Source organism: Homo sapiens, chromosome 2, assembly GCF_000001405.40.
Source record: "Homo sapiens chromosome 2, GRCh38.p14 Primary Assembly".
NCBI lineage: Eukaryota > Metazoa > Chordata > Mammalia > Primates > Hominidae > Homo > Homo sapiens.
In genome coordinates, this window is record NC_000002.12 from 127,332,822 (window position 1) to 127,350,377 (window position 17,556).

General features: G+C 37.4%; 1 protein-coding gene across 6 annotated transcripts in view; it reads right to left on the reverse strand.

Annotated features, from left to right (window-relative positions):
• Positions 1–17,556, reverse strand: part of MAP3K2 (mitogen-activated protein kinase kinase kinase 2) — an 89,798-nt gene that overhangs the window by 34,154 nt on the left and 38,088 nt on the right. For 5 of the 6 annotated variants that reach the window (NM_001371911.1, NM_001371910.2, XM_047442990.1 and 2 more), the window contains 4 exons: positions 10,305–10,373; positions 6,111–6,229; positions 4,917–4,957; positions 3,049–3,148 (listed from right to left, as the gene is read on the reverse strand). In NM_001371911.1, coding sequence (NP_001358840.1) covers positions 3,049–3,148; positions 4,917–4,957; positions 6,111–6,229; positions 10,305–10,308 — 264 coding nt within the window. In that variant the 5' untranslated portion in view covers positions 10,309–10,373. Of the gene's footprint in view, positions 1–3,048; positions 3,149–4,916; positions 4,958–6,110; positions 6,230–10,304; positions 10,409–17,556 lie in introns of those variants that run through there. The other variant, NM_006609.5, reaches the window with a different exon arrangement.

Below are 17,556 nucleotides of genomic sequence, written 5' to 3' on the forward strand. Positions count from 1 at the left end.
GAAGACAGCCATTAAAAGGTTCTCCAGGCTGGACGCAGTGGCTCACACCTGTAATCTCAGCACTTTGGGAGGCTGAGGTATGCGGGTCGCTTGAGCCCTGGAGTTTGAGACCAGCCTGGGCAACATGGTGAAACCACATCTCTAGAAAAAATACAAAAATTAACAAGGTATGGTAGTGCATGCCTGTAGTCCCAGCTACTTAGAAGGCTGAGTGGGGAGAGGATTGATTGAGCCAGGGAGGTCAAGGCTCCAGTAAGCCATGACTGTGCCTCTGTACTACAGCCTGGGTGACAGCGGGAGATGCTGTCTCAAAAAAAAAAAAAAAAAATTCCTGCTCTACTCATCTAAAATGGAAGTGATCTTAGAAAATCCTTACTTGGCTTGAACACCTCCACATCCAACCCCCATGACACACACACACATGCACCCTGAACACCTCCACAACCAACCCTCATAACACACACACACACACACACACACACACCCCTTATTAAAGAGAAGCCAAACTAACAAATCCAAACAACCTCAGCTTATATTTCCAGCTTAAATTTCCTTAACGTTTCAATTCTAGCCAACTAGAAGTTTATAGAGTAACAGTTCATTTTGAACAGAGGAATTAATATTACACTAGAAAAATATTTATAGAAGTGGAATAACATGCAGTATAAATGAATTTTTTGCCTGACCACATGTCCACAAAACTAGTAAGACTTTCTTTAGTACCCCCAGTGTCCAAGATCATGCATTTGGTTTGGGACAATATGTCAAGATATGAAACAGGATACGGTTCACTCACAGAATCTCAGGGTTGCAAGAAATCTTAAATGTAATCTTATCCTAATGCCACCCCTACCACATTCCTGCCAAGAGGCCACCAAAATATAATGGTAGAACCACTCACAGAAATCCTTCAGAAAGCATGAGAAAAATAAACTAAAATGGAGCAGTTTTCCAATTTTTAGAAAATGGGAAAAGGTTCTTAAAAATACAGATCAGGCCAGGCGCGGTGGCTCATACCTGTAATCCCAGCACTTTGGGAGGCCAAGGCAGGTGGATCATCTGAGCTCAGGAGTTTGAGACCAGTCTGGGCAACATGGTGAAACCCCGCCTCTACCAAAAATACAAAAATTATCCGGGAGCAGTGGTGCCTGCCTGTGGTCCCAGCTACTCAGGAGGCTGACGTGGGAAGATCGCTTGAGTCCTGGGAGGCAAAGGTTGCAGTGAGGTGAGATCGGGCCACTGCATTCCAACCTGGGTGACAGAGTGAAACCTCGTCTCACACAAAAAACAAAAACAAAAACCAGTTAGCTTGATGTCAATCCTCAAGAAAACCCCAGAAAAAAATTACATAGCAAACTGGGAGAAGTCACTAAAAAAAAAACCAGCAATTCTTAGGAGGTGACATAGGTATAATATGGACAAATCATGTCATGCTAACCTCATTTTTCTTGATAGACCTACTAGGCTGTAGATAAAGACAATATTGTAGTCTTAATGTATCTTGGCATTTGAAAGTTTTCCATAATACAATTTTAGAAAAAAGAAAAAAAGATATGTCTAGGCTCCCCTATAATCATCCTATGAGATAATAATTCAAGTTCAAGACATTTTTTAAAAATTTATTCTTTTTTGTTCAGACAGCTCTGTCACACAGGCTGGAGTGCAGTGGTTCAACTGTAGCTCACTGTACCCTCAAATTCCTGGGCTCAAGCTATCCTCCCACCTTAAATCCCCCTGCCTCAGCCTCCCGAATAGCTGGGACTACAGGTGTATGCCATCACACTCAGATAATTTTACTTTTTTGTAGAGATGGAGTCTGGCTATGTTGCCTAGGCTAGTCTTGAACTCCCGGCCTCAGGTGATCCTCCTGCCTTGGCCTCCCCCGATGTGCTGGGATTATAGGCATGAGCCACTGTGCTCTGCCCGTTATTCTTCAACACAATACTTTATGCATTTTTTTTTTTTTTTGAGACGGAGTCTCGCTCTGTCACCAGGCTGGAGTGTAGTGACGCGGTATCAGCTCATTGCAACCTCTGCCTCCCGGGTTCAAGCGATTCTCCTACCTCAGCCTCCCAGGTAGCTGGAACTACAGGTGCACGTCACCACGCTCAGCTAATTTTTGTATTTTTAGTAGAGATGGGGTTTTACCACTTGGCCAGAATGGTCTTGTTCTCTTGACCTTGTGATCTGCCCACCTCTGCCTCCCAAAGTACTGGGATTACAAGCGTGAGCAACCATGTCTGGCCTACTTTATGCATTTCTTTCAAAGAACTTCGTATATTCAAACAACTCATTTATTAATGGTTTGCTTGTACCACAAGTCTATAAGGTCTATACTCCATGAGGTGCTGCAACTTATAACTTATAGCATTATGCCTGAAAAATTAATAAATACTTTCTGAATATAAAAAACAAATTCACCTAATTACTAACCCAATTATTAACTAAATTGTCCTATAAATTTTAAGATCACAAGATCCTGATATCTCATAGAATCTCAAGAACTAAAAGAAACTTCAGAGATCACTGAATCCAATCCTAAGTTTACAGAACATTAAAAAGGGGTTTCTCCACAACGCAGAGCTCCTCACTGCTAGAGCAAGCCCTTCAGATCATACATACTGATTCCCAAACATAATAAGCTAATTGAGCCCTAACCAACACTAAAATAATCCTTTAACTCAATTGTTTAACTACCAAAGCTCTGTCATCTGTAGCCAAGTGTAGAGTATGAGAGGAAAAGACAGTTCACCAATAAAGTACACAGAATAAAAACAAAACCATAAATAAGCAGCAAAATTCCAAGTAATACATATATTTTCCCCTATAATACACCCTCATTCAATTATTTGCATAGTAGCACCCTCTATTATTTTCCACAATGAAATAAATCCATTTTAGTCAGTTAAAATTTACTTGTTTTATCCTTCTGACATACCATATATTTATCAATCCCTAAATAAAAACACGAGTCTTAAAAGCAGTCTCTTAAACGAACACATTACTTTTGAAGGTAAGATCTACTAAAGTTAAACTGTACATGTTTACCTCGTTATTGGTATAATGTAGATCCATAGACTGTCCAAAGGCAATTTTAGCTTTAGATCTCAGATCTTCCAGTTTAACTGGTCTGGGGAACTGAAGGATTCTATATAAACACAATTTTAAGATTTTATTTTCTTAGGCAAAGTTAAATAATAAACTTGCAAAAGTTACCTCCTTTTAGAGTGATACAAGATTAACTAAAAATTACGTAAATATTCACTTTACTTAACACTACAACAGCACATTTTTTAACACAGGCACACATTTTCAACACAAAGTTCAAAAACTCTGAAGTCTGTTTTATCCTAATACAAATTTTAAAAAGGAAATTCTCAAAATTTTCTGCAGTTTTTAATTTGCACTGAAACTACCATATGAATGTTAAAGAGCAATGCAAAATGTTTATTCAGGAAACTGATTAAACTTAACTATGTGACATCTGTATGACAGAATGAAATGAAACTGTTAAAAAGAATAAAGTTGTTCTCCAGGGATTCAAATTTTGATTTCTGTATCCTTATCAACTCAACATTTTTGGGTACATATATCATGTAGGCATACTTCCAAAATAAATATTTTTACAAGATTAAAATTCTAGTGTTTTCTTTCTACTTCCCAAAGACTGGCCTGTGCTGCCCCTAGAGAGCATGCACCTAAAGCTTGAAGACCACCAATACCACACTATAAGCCCCATAAGGAAAAAGACTGTGTCTGCTTTGCTCCCTTTATTCCTTCAGGGCCTAGCATATACTAAGTACTCAACAAATAATGCTGAATGAATGAAAAAATTGGGAAAATATCCAAAAAAGAATCTTAAATAGGAAAATAGATTGGATAGTTCCATGGTTTATCTGATATATTCCAGTTTTAAATATTTCTATGTAGAATATGCTTATATGATTTGTGAGCCACTTTAAAATCCTTAAAACTGTTAGGCTTTTCACTACATTAATTTCATGAGACACTAATAGCAGAAATGAAATTCTATCATCAGGCTGGGAGCGTGGGTCACGCCTGTAATCCCAGCACTTTGGGAGGCCGGGGCGGGTGGATCATCTGAGGTCAGGAGTTCGAGACCAGCCTGGCCAACATGGTGAAACCCTATCTCGACTAAAAAATACGAAAATTAGCCAGGCATGGTGGCTGTTGCCTGCAATCCCAGCTACTCAGGAGGCTGAGGCAGGAGAATTGCTTGAACCCGGGAGGTGGAGGTTGCAGTGAGCCAAAATCACGCCATTGCACTCCAGCCTGGGCGACAGAGTAAGACTCCATCTCAAAAAAAAAAAATTCTATCGGCCTTAATTCCTATTAGGTCTTGTTAGCAATTTTGTTGTCAACTACCACCCTATCATTTGTGCACTGAGATACAGATACCAAGTAGAAGACTAGGTTTACATCTCTGCTAAATAATTTGCAGCCACTAGTCCAATTCACTTTCCTCAACATTACTAATGACGTAAATGTCATAAAACTGAGGTCTCTTGAGAATAATCAGAATTGTAAATGTTAAGCTCACATATATAAATGCTATATAGTATCTGGAGGGATGAAACAATTATAAGGAAAAATATATTTAATTTCCCCCAAGTAAAAATGAAAGGAAGTGAAAATATGTAAAGGCTGTATTAAACAGTGATCTTATTTATCTCTGAAAATTGCAAAGACATTAATCATTTCTAATATTTAACCTGAATTTTGACATATTTTATCTATCTTAAGTCTAAGCACATTACACATTCCCAAGGACTACTCTATTCTCAATTTGTAAACCATGAAACTTCATTCAAATCTGAAAAGAACCTTTCAAAAGCTTAATTAGAATACACATTTGATTAAATCAATTAATTAACATGTAATGTTTCCTTCCTTACCTTTTTTCTCCTCTATGTTCAAATTTGACTCGGACATCATTCTGTAATGAAATGACAAATCAGTCTTTCAGAGATTAGACAGATCATTCAGAGATTAGATAAAATTTCTACAATTTCTAAATGATTTTGTTTTTTAGCCATTCATTTAAAATAGACCAGACGAGGAGGGAATTTTGAAGTTCTGTACCAGCTCCAAACAATTGATAGTGTCTGCTAAAAAGTTGAGAATTATGTTGCTGAATCTGGGCTCAACAGGAAAGAACACCAAGATCTATTAGTGAAGGTACCAGGAGTATGAGACATTTGCTGATCCTGTTATGGGAAATACAGAATATTATATTTTTATGTGTCATGCTGAGTATCCAAAACTAATTTCATTTATCAGAATCAAAAACATCCTCATTTCTAAAAATCCAGAGTAGACTATTTGAAGAACAAAACAAAACACAATTTGCTTAAGTGCTTGAAAAATGGATGAAATGTCAGCTTTGGAGAACAGTTACCACATTAAATGAAATGCTACCTTATTTTTTCTGGGAAGGGGTCAACGTTGGCTGCAGAATGCTACAATTCTTTATGAACACAAACTTAAAAAAAATTTTTTTAACTTTTAAGTTCAGGGGTACATGAGCAGTTTTCTTATACAGGTAAACTCACGTCACGGGGAGTTGCTTGTAGATTATTTAGTCACTCAGGTATCAGGCCTAGTACCCATTAGTTATTTTTCCTGATCCTCTCCCTCCTCCTGCCCTCCACCCTCTCGCAGGCCCCAGTGTCTATTGCTCCCCTCTATGTCTCCATGTGTTCTCATTATTTACCCTCCACTTATAACTGAGAACATGTGGTATTTGGTTTTCTGTTCCTGCATTAGTTTGCTAAGGATAATGGTCTCCAGTTCCATCCATGTTCCTGAAAGGACATGATTTTGTTATTTATTATGGCTGCACAGAATTCCATGGTGTATATGTACCACATTTTCTTTATCCAGTCTACCACTGATGGACACTGAAGTTGATTCCACGTCTTTGCTACTGTTAATAGATGAACACACACTCTTACACGAAAATGTGTAACAAACACTAACAAAATTCTTGATTCGAAAGTGTAAAAGCTGAACACATTAAACAAGTCCTCCATAAGATTAGGATATTAAAGGAAAGTAATTCATAAAAAAATACTTATTAAAATAAATACCTGTTTTTTTGGTGATGAAGATTTTGCTTTTCTGGTTTCCTGCAAGGATAATGCTGGTCGACTGGCCTTATGAAGGACAGCCAAATCTTGCATGATTGAGTTCAAAGCTTGCTGATCATCTAGGTAGTTTTGAAACAACACATACATAGAATTGTAATTGTGACATATATATCAACATGTATAGACATCAAACACAAAATTTAAAATAAAATTTGATGTAGAGAATGTATTAATGCAAAAATGCATCTAGAACATTTTTAATGCCTACACTTTTGGTAAAATAAAATTGCACTAGACTTAATCTCTAGCATCAGTCCACACATGAGACACTAATGGACAAGATGAAGTCATTCTGATTCTTCCAATGATTTAATATCCTAGAATAAGGTCAAAACTGCCCTGTTATAACAAATTCTTTTCTATGACTCCTAAACAAAACATCAAGGTATCTAAAATGTTTTAAAAAGTAGGGAAAAAAAAATAAACAACTTTGTATAAATCTCATTACTTAGCATTTATATTCAAAGTACAGACTTAATTTTGGAAGGTTTTTTTATTCTTTCATCAATACTTAAGAGTCAGAAACAAAGAAAAGCTTCACCTGTGGATACTGGCCTACTGTATTTGGAAATGCTCTTTCAAACTTCTTCACCATAAGGTTTGACAAGACTAAAAACAGACTATTTAAAGATCTTGGCCAGCAACAATGTAAGAAAATTCCTTTCCTTAGAAAAAGTACCAAGTCCATAAAACTGAGAGAAAGCATCATGAACATGAACTTTTAGACTCTTATAAATATACCAAAGATTTCCTTCTGAGACTAAAACCATGTGCCTGCCAGTAATGCCAATTATAAGCTCTCCAGAAGACATCAGGGACAACTTAATTTATTTTCACTAGTAAATCAATTCTACTAATGATAATCACAAATGATAAATAAAGGAATCAAGAGACTTTACACTTTACATTTTAAAATGTAACCATTTTGGTGAGCAGTAACTTATGTTCTTGGAGTAGTAAAAATTAAAACATGCCATATCCTGTATGGGAAATCACTAAAAATATTCCAACAATTCAGTAGCCCTAATAGTCTCTCAAACACACAAACAGCTGACTTCTCTAATTTACTAATTTTTAATAACACTTAATATAGTCTATTTTGTAGTGAAATTATTTGCATATTAAAATTTAAAAGTAATGGTTGCCATGGTTTTATTGGTTTATTAATTTATTAATATTTCCAGGTTAAGAAAAAATTTTATAATCCTTCACCAAGGATTTTTTATAAAATAAAGTTTTATCATAATGTTAGTTTAGCCAAATAGGTAACCAAGCCACAGTCAGGTACAATATAATCACAATAGATGTACCCATCAATAAGCTCACAATGATCTCAACTGGAATAAAAGCATTTGATGTGACCTTCTTTAAGAAGGTAAATCCTTGGCCAGGCACAATGGCTCAAGCCTGTAATCCCAACACTTTGGGAGGCCGAGGGGGGCAGATCATAAGGTCAGGAATTCAAGACAAGTCTGGCCGATATGGTGAAACCCCGTCTCCACTAAAAATACAAAAATTAGCCAGGCATGGTGGCAGGTGCCTGTAGTCCCAGCTACTTGGGAGGCTAAGGCAGGAGAATCTCTTGAACCCAGGAGGCAGAGGTTGCAGCGAGCTGAGATTGCACCACTGCACTCCAGCCTGAGCAACAGAGCATGAATCTGTTTCCCAAAAGGAAAAAAAAAAAAAAGGTAAATCCTTAATTCTATACTAGGGATAGATGAACTCTAATTCTTTTTTTATTTTTTTGTAGAGATGGGGGTCTCACCATGTTGCCCAGGCTGGTCTTGAACTCCTGGGCTCAAGCGATCCTCCCACCTTGGCCTCCCAAAGTGGGAACTTAAATCTATCTATGTTGTTCTAATTTTTATTAGAAGAAACCTAAACATTTGAATTTAAACAATTTTATATGCTTAATATTACAATGTCAAAATAAATGCCTTGGGGGAGGGCCTTTGGCTAAAATTATCACATTTATAAATACTTCTTTCTTTTTGGGGGGGACGGGGGAAGCAAGGGGAGATGGATTCTCGCTCTATTGCCCAGGATGGAGTGCAGTGGCGCCATCTCGGCTCACTGCAAGCTCCACTTCCCGGGTTCACACCATTCTCCTGCCTCAGCCTCCCGAGTAGCTGGGACTACAGGCACCCCCCACCACGCCTGGCTAATTTTTTGTATTTTTAGTAGAGATGGGGTTTCACCGAGTTAGCCAGGTTGGTCTCGATCTCCCGGCCTCGTGATCCGCCTGCCTCGACCTCCCAAAGTGCTGGGATTACAGGTGTGAGCCACTGCACCCGGCCTACTTATTTATTAAGAAAAATGAGAACGGAAAAAAAAATAAGTACCGTTTTCTGTTATATATGTAAAAAATGGTGGGGCCAGTTGAACAAAACTTCCCATATTAGGAAGGTGACATAAAAAACAAAGGGCAATTTAATTGAGTTCCTTACTTGGCGGGCTTGAAGAATTACTACTGGGCACTTATTTACCCATAAGTACACTTACGTACTTATGGGTAAGTACAATGGGTTTTTTTTTGTTGTTTTTTTTTTTTTTTTTTTTGAGACAGAGTCTTGCTCTGTCGCCCAGGCTGGAGTGCAGTGGCGTGATCTCGGCTCACTACAAGATCCGCCTCCTGGGTTCACGCCATTCTCCTGGCTCAGCCTCCTGAGTAGCTGGGACTACAGGCGCACGCCACCATGCCTGGCTAATTTTTTGTATTTTTAGTAGAGATGGGGTTTCACTGTGTTAGCCAGGATGGTCTCAATCTCCTGACCTCGTGATCCACCCGACTCGGCCTCCCAAAGTGCTGGGATTACAGGCATGAGCCACCACGCCCGGCCCAATGGGTTTCTGACACATGTTGGAAGGACACTGAATTGAGCACAAAACCAAAAAATACTTGGAAAATAATTTTTTCAAAAATCTTTTATCAGAAATGTTGAATTAAATACCTTATATGCTTATTCATGATATTTGAAAAATAATTACAGAAGAACATCCTCAATCAAAAATTCAAACATCTGTCATGGTGTTCTGTGACTAACTTTGTATGTTTTTAAGCAATGAATGTTGCCCTACTATAGAGCAGTATTATTTGAGGCTGACAAAAATAAATTTGATCGATACATAGAGTACAAGTGACAGCACCCAAAATAAAAAGTTGAAAGAAGTTCAGTAAAAGTACATCCAATTTGGAGCTGAAAGTAAGGCTGACTAGAGTGGAGAATTTGGGCTACAAGGGGGCACTGCTACTCATGACTACAGAAGAGGAAGTGGAAGAACAATTTTTAAAGTAGGGAGGTGAAGTCTAAGCTTACATACTTGCTACAATGACACACAGTGAAAGTGTCCTAGCCCCCACTTTCATCACATGGGCAAATATAAGTTCTTCATGAGGGTGTGTGTGTGTGTGTGTGTGTGTGTGTGTGTGTATTTGTTTTGTTAAGCAAGAAGTAGAAAATGTGTGATAAAGGCAAACTCTGGCAAGCAAATGTCAGAATTAAATCCCAGGATCAGTCTAAGTTTCAAAATTTAGCATCCAACTACTCAGTACCATTTTTCTTGATTTAGGATAGGGTGGGCCATTCGTGACTCCATTTCCTTCTAGTGTCTTCCTGTCTAACTAATTCCCTGCCTCATGCTGGAACCCTTAACACAAAGGAGAAAAGGAAAAAACAAAAAGGAGGTAAACAGGAAAACAAAATATGTAAACTGAACATACACAATCCATTCCCATACTTTAGTGTCTTTAAACTAACATTATACCACAATATACGACCAAGAGTTGTATAACATATTCTCCCTGAGCACCAATGATTTGCTGCTCTATGAATGATAAAATTAAATTTTATGATTTCTCTCTTGCCATCAGACTTTAAGCAAATCACAACACATCTTAACAGCTTATTTTGAATGTCCCTGCTGTTACGCATAAAATGATCATTCTAAAACTACAGCAACACAAAAAGTACTTTAATTCAAAGTCTATTAAGTAAATATAAAACATTTCATAAATCTGCTATATCATAAAATTTATTTATAAAAAGGTTTATAATAACACATAATAGAGAAAGTTTTTTCACTTCCATTCTATCCTTTAATTATTGCTGAAAAATGCTTTTAGTTTGAACTCACCCATTATGGCAAACAGCTCAACAATTTGAAAATTAGGAAAATGGTTCTCCCATCAGCATTCTTTATGGCCTGAGAAGATAAAACAGATCAGCATATTAATAAAAAGAAACAGAAAAGGAGCCAGGAAAAGAAAAAAAAAAGTCAGTTTAAATAATACTAATGAAAAATATACAATATGAATACTTTACACATTTCGCTAGGGGGAGGTGTTTTATATTGAAGGTTGATCATGTAGGCACCCCCTTGCCTAACACATACCAAAATTCCAGACTCCCAGAAGAAAAGCAGGTATTCAGCATAAACCATAGTGTTTGTACAAACCATTATCAGTTGGAGGCAGGAACTCTCCTGAAATCCAAGTTCTCAGGTGTCAGCCAAAGGCTAACTCCTAAGCAGGCCTTCTACAAATCAGCAATCAGGCCCACTACATTAACTCTTTTTCTATATAAACAGCAATAGGAAACTAATATGTTGGTTTAAAAAAAAAACTGCATAACGCAATAATTATAACTGTGTTGCTGGGTATACAATATATAATAATATAATTCACATAATATTAACAGCACACAGGAAAGGGAAAGGATAGAGTTACATAAAAGAAAGGTGTTTATGACCAAGTGCAGTGGCTCATGCCATAATCCCAGCACTTTGGGAGGCCTAGGCAGGCGGATTGCTTGAGCCCAGGAGTTCGAGACCAGCCTGTCCAACACGGTGAAACCCCATCTATACAAAAAAATACAAAAATTAGCCGGGTGCAGTAGTGCATGCCTGTAGCTCCCAGCTACTTGGGAGGCTTGAGGTGGGAGGATCACTTGAGCCTGGGAGGTTGAGGTTGCAGTGAGCTGTGGCACTCCAGTCTGGGCGACACAGCGAGACTGCCTAGAAGAAAAAAAAAAGTGTTTGTATACCATTGCAATTAAGTTGATATTACCTCAAACTATGTTATTATAAGATGTTAACTGTAATCCCCAGGTCAACTAGAAAATAAGATGAAAAATATGAGTGCCAACATGACACTATGAATGGAAAATTCCACAAACCTGTCCTCATGTGATATGTCACAGTCAAAAGGCAGATGCACAACTCAGTTTATTCAGCATCCCCCAGGAGAAAAGAGACCCTACCAGCCCCTTCCACTGTAATATATCTTTTCCATGCATGCCCAAATTCCCCCATGCAAGAGGCCTACAAGGGTAATAATAGAAACTTTGTTTCAGACACAAAATTATTTTAAAAATTGTTGGCTAGTACAGTGGCTCACACTTATAATACTAGCAATTTGGGGGGGCCAAGGTGGGAGGATCACGTGAGCCCAGGAGTTTGAGACCAGCCTGGGCAACATAGGGAGACTCCCATTTCCACCAAAAAAAAAAAAAAAAAAGATTTAAAAAACAAAATGCCAGGTGTAGTGGTGCATGCCTGTAGTCCCAGCTAACTGGAAGGCTAAAGTGGGAAGACTGCTTGAGCCAGGGAGGTCAACGCTGCAGTGAACTATGATTGTACTCCAGCCTGTGTGACAGAGCAAGACCCTGTCTCGAAAACATTTAAAAAATTGTATAAAATTACCTTTAGCTATATGAATAAGATGTATATGAAACATAAAAGAATTTCATGTTTAGACTTGGGTCCCTTTCCCAAGATACCTCACTATGTATATGCAAATATTACAAAACATGAAAAAAATCCAAAAAACTTCTGGTCCCAAACATTTTGACCTGAATATGTTGCCTACAACAGACACTTTTTTTGGGGGACAGGAGGAGGGTCTTGCTCTCTTTCCCAGGCTGAGGTGCACTGGCATGATCACAGCTCACTGCAGCCTTGATCTGCCAGGCTCAAGCAATCCTCCCACCTCAGCACCCCCGAGTAGATGGGACTACAGGTGCATGCTATCACACCCAGCTGATTTTTAAAAAAAGATTTTGTACAGATTACCCAGACTGGTCTCAAGCTCCTGGGCTAAAGTGATCCTCCCAGTTTGGCCTCCCTAAGTGCTGGGACTACGAACCACAACACCTGGTCCACATTTTAAATTCGAAGACAAAATAGGTTGACAGTAAAAGGATAGAAAAAGATATACTATGCAAACAGTAGTCAAAACAGACCTGCAGTGGCTACACCACTATCAGGCAAAACAGACACAAAAATTGTTGTGACAAACAGCATTTTATAATGAAAGATAGCCAATACATCAAAAAGATATAGCAATTATAAACTTATATGTACCTAACAACAGAATCGCAAAATACACAATGCAAAAAAGTATAAAATTCAAGGAAGAAACACAATTCAAAAATAAAAGTTGGAGATTTCAATGCCCTGCGTTCAATAACGGATAAAATAAGTAGACAGAAAATCAATGAGGAAATACAAGACTTGTACAACACTATAAACTACTAGGCTTAACAAACACCTACAGAATAATCAACCTCAAAACAGCAGAATATACACTCTTCTCAAATACATATAGGACATTTCCAAGACAGACCAAATATTAGGTAATAAAACAAATCTCAGTAACTACATGGATTGAAATCACACAAAGTGTGTTCTCTGACAAAAATGCAATAAAATTAGAAATTGGCAACACAAGGATATCTGGAAAATTCACAAATATGTGAAAATTAAAAAACATAAAAATAATCAATGGGTCACTAGAAGGCATAAGGAAAATTAGAAAATACTTTGAGATAAAAATGAAAACACATCAAAACAAAATGTATTGGATGCATCTAAAGATAAAATTTATAACTGTAAATATTTACATTGACAAACAAGAAGGATGTCAAATCAATAACCTAACCTTTGACCTTAAAATACTAGAAGATGAGGAACAATTTAAATCTGAAACAAGCTAAAGGAATAGGGAGTAGAAAATAAAAATACCACTGAAATTTAAAAAAAAAATCAAGAAAACAAAAATTGGCCCTTTGAAAAGATCAACAAAACTAACAAACTTTTAGCTAATCAAAAAAAGAAGAGGGAAAACACAAATAACTAAATTCAAGAATTCAAAAGGGAGCAATTACACCAACCTTTCAGAAATAAAAAGGATAAGAGAATACTGTTAACAACTGTACATCAACAAATTAGATGACTGAGATGACACAGACAAATTCCTAAAAAGAAACAAATTATCAAAATCGACTCATCAAGAAGAAATTAAGAATTTGAACAGACCTATAAAAAGTAAAAAGACTAAATTAGAAATGAAAAATTTCTCACAAATAAAAGCCCTGGACCAGATCACTTCAAACATTTACAGAATTTACAAAAACTGGTTTTAAAAAAAAAAAAAAAAAAAAAAGAAGGAACACTTCCCAATTCATTGTGAAGCCAGTATTACTCCAATACCAAAACCAGACAAAGCCATCACAAGATGAGAAAACTAAAGATCAATATCTCATCAATACAGATGCAAAAATCCTCAATAAAATACTAGCAAACCTAACCTAGAACATTAAAAAACAAATTATATACCATGCACATTTGGGATATATCCAACAAAATCAAGGTTGGTTCAGCACATAAAATCCAATCAATGTAAAAAACCACATTAACAGAACAAAGAACAAAAACCAGGCAGGCACAGTGGCTCATGCCTGTAATCCCAGCACTTTGGGAGGCTGAGGCAGGCGGATCACCTGAGGTCAGGAGTTCGAAATCAGCCTGGCCAACATGGCAAAACCCTGCCTCTACTAAAAATACAAAAATTAGCCAGGCATGGTGATGGGCACCTATAATCCCAGCTACTTGGGAGGCTGAGGCAGGTGACTCCCTTGAACCTGGGAGGCAGAGGTTGGCAGTGAGCAGAGATCATGCTGCACTGTACTCTAGCCCGCGCGACAGAGCGAGACTCTGTCTCAAGGAAAAAAAGAAAAAAAAGAAAAAAGAACAAAAACCAAATCATCTCAAAACATACAGAAAACACATGTGCCAAAATTCAACACCCTTTTATGCTCAAAAGATAACAAACAGAAGAGGACATAATCAAGTTGATTATGGTGAAAAACTTCATGGTGAAAAACAGGATACATTCCCAGTAAGGCCAGGAATATGGGGATGTCCACTCTTGCCACACATCTATTTAATATTGTACTAGAGGTTCTAGTCAGAAGACGAGGCAAGAAAATGAAATAAACGGAATCCAGACTGGATAAGAAGTAAAACTATACCCATTTGCAAGTGACATAATCTTAGATACAGGAAAACCTAAGAAACAAACAAAAACAGTATTAGAATCAATAAACACGTTCAGCACAGATGCAGGATACAAGGTCAACATTCAAAAATCAATTATATTTCTATACATTAGCAATAAACATTCTGGAAATAAAATTAAGAAATCAATTTCATTTACAATACCACCAAAAAAAATAAAGTACTTAGGAACATATTTAACAACAACAAAAAAATGCAGCTTGCACTCTAAAAACTACAAAACACTGTTGAAAGAAATTAAAGTAGACCTAAATATACAGAAAGACATCCCATATTCATGAATGGGAAAACAATATTTTTAAGATAGCAATACTCCCAAAGTTATCTACAGATTCAATGAACTCTCTATCAAAATTCCAATGGCCTCTTTTAGCAGAAACGGAAAACTGATCCTTAAATTCATATGAAACTGCAATAGGCACTGAATAGCCACAACAATACTGAAAAAGAAAAATAAAGATGCTCAGTATCATCTGTCATCAGGGAAATGCCAATAAAAATCAAAATGACATACTACCTCACATCCAGTAGGATGACTATAATCAAAAAGAAAGACAATGACAGGTGGTAATGAAGATGTGAAGAAATATGAGCCACTGTTTCCACTCCTATTGTATATACCCAAGAGAACTGAAAGCACACAACCACACAAAACCCTGTAAATTCAATGCAGCACTATTTATAAGAACCCAAATGTCCATCAACTGATGAAGAGAGAAACATGTCCTATATCCATATGATGAAATATTATTGACCATGTGTGGTGGCTTACAGATTACATCTGTAATCCCAGCACTTTGGGAAGCTGAGATAATTGGATCACTTGAGGTCAGGAGTTTGAGACCAGTCTGTCCAATGTGATGAAACCCTATCTCTACTAAAAACACAAAAATTAGCTGGGCATGGTGGCAGGAGCCTGTAATCCCAGCTACTCAGGAGGCTGAGGCAGGAGAATTGCTTGAACATGGGAGGCAGATGTTGCAGTGAGCCCACATTACGCCACTACACTCCAGCCTGGACAACAGAGTGAGACTTCATCTCCAATAAATAAATAAACAAATAAATAAAATTCAGTCATTAAAAAGAATAAAGTACCTATACATGCTCCAACATGGACAAATTTATGCTAAGTGGAATAAGCCAGATTTTTAAAAAGCCCCATATTCCACTTACATGAAATGTCTAGAATAGCAAATCTACAGAGACTGAAAGTAGATTAGTGATTTCCTAAAGCCAGGGTATGGGAAATGGGGAATGACTGTGAATGAGTATGAAGTATCTTTTGGGGGATGAGGAAATGTTCTGGAGTGAGGCAGTGGTGATGGTTGCACAACTCTGTGAATAAATGAAAGATTACTGAATTGTAGTATTTAAAAGGGTGAATTTCATGGTATGCAAATTATAACTGAAAAAGGAAGGAAGGGAGAAAGGAAGGAAACAAAATAGAAGTGGCTGGTTCTATGAATAACTAGAGATCATTTGCTCACCTAGAGAAGCAACTGCCTCAGCTCCAGTCAATAGCTGCTACAGAAGTTCGGGCTCAGTATTATCAGATATGCTGGTTTTTCAAAAAGCCCTAATCCAAATTTTAATGTGAGATCTCCCCAATTTCAAATATTAGCAACTAATTCAAATTTTTACAAAAACAACCATGTTATCCTTGCATGCTGCCATTTTGTAAGCACTGACAACTTTAATTTCTTTTTAGTTATATTATTTTCAAATGTCAAGTAACATTAAGGAATTATCAAAGAAAAAATGTAAAAATTATTAACACAGAATATAACATAAAACAAGAAAGTGTTCCTTTCTTTTCTTTCTTTTTTTTTTTGGAGACAGGGTCTCACTTTGTTGCCCAGGTTAGAGTGCACTGGCATGATCACTGCCTGCGGCAGCCTCAACTTCCCTGACTCAAGTGATCCTCTTGCTGCAGCCTCTCAAGTAGCTGGGACTACAGGTACGCATCATGCCTGGCTAGTTTTTTGTTTTTGTTTTTGTTTTTTTATATGGCGTCTCACTGTGTTGCCCAGGCTGGTCTCAAACTCCTGGGCTCAAGCAATCCTCCTGCCTCGGCCTCTCAAAGTGTTGGGATTACAGGCCATCCAGCCTGGTCTCGAGAAAGTGCTCCCTTCATCATGCCTATCAGTACCATTTCAAGGGCAACCACTGTATTACCTCAGTTTTTAGGACTTTTAATCAAGACAAATATAAGACTAAATTTTAAACAGCTGAGAAGAAAACATCTAGTCTAAACATCTTATTTTAAAATCTGAGGGCCAAAAAGATAATATAACTTATAAAGTTGGACAAAGCTAAGACTTGAATACCTGTTTCTTATTTCTTACTCAAGTAAACTTTCCATAATGCCATATCACTCCAATTTACCTTTTGAGGAAACAACTAGCTGGAATACAAAATTCTCCTACCATACATATGCACATAGAGAAAGTCACAAAGTGGTTGGGGAAGTTTTATTTAGTATATTCTCTTTCAATAAAAATTTAAATTCTCAACGAAATTTTTCAGGTGGTTTTGTTTTGTTTTCTGTGACAGGGTCTTGCACTGTCACCCAGGCTGATGTGCAGTGGTACTATCACAGCTCACTGCAGCCTCAATCTCCCGGGCTTAAGCAATTCTTCCACCTCAGCCTATAGCATTTGCTACCACGCCCAGCTAATTTTCTGTAGAGATGGAGTTTTGCCACGCTGCCCTGATGTCTGCAAGTACCAATCCCCACTGTACGGCTGAGGAATCAGAATATGACTGAGATACAGCTGATTTAGAGGAGGTAATTGCAAAATGAGCCTAAAACATCTCACTGAACCAGAAAGAAAGCACATAAAGACTTATGGGGACATGTCAGAAGGCCACAGGCACAACTTGAAGGGGATTCCACTTATCAAATATGGGACAATTTGAGCATCAAAATAAAAATAATGTTGGATTACAGGCCCACTGAATAGAAAAAATGAAACAATGAAGTTAGGCCCAATAGCTATAATCTCAGCTACTCAGGAGACTGAGGCAGGAG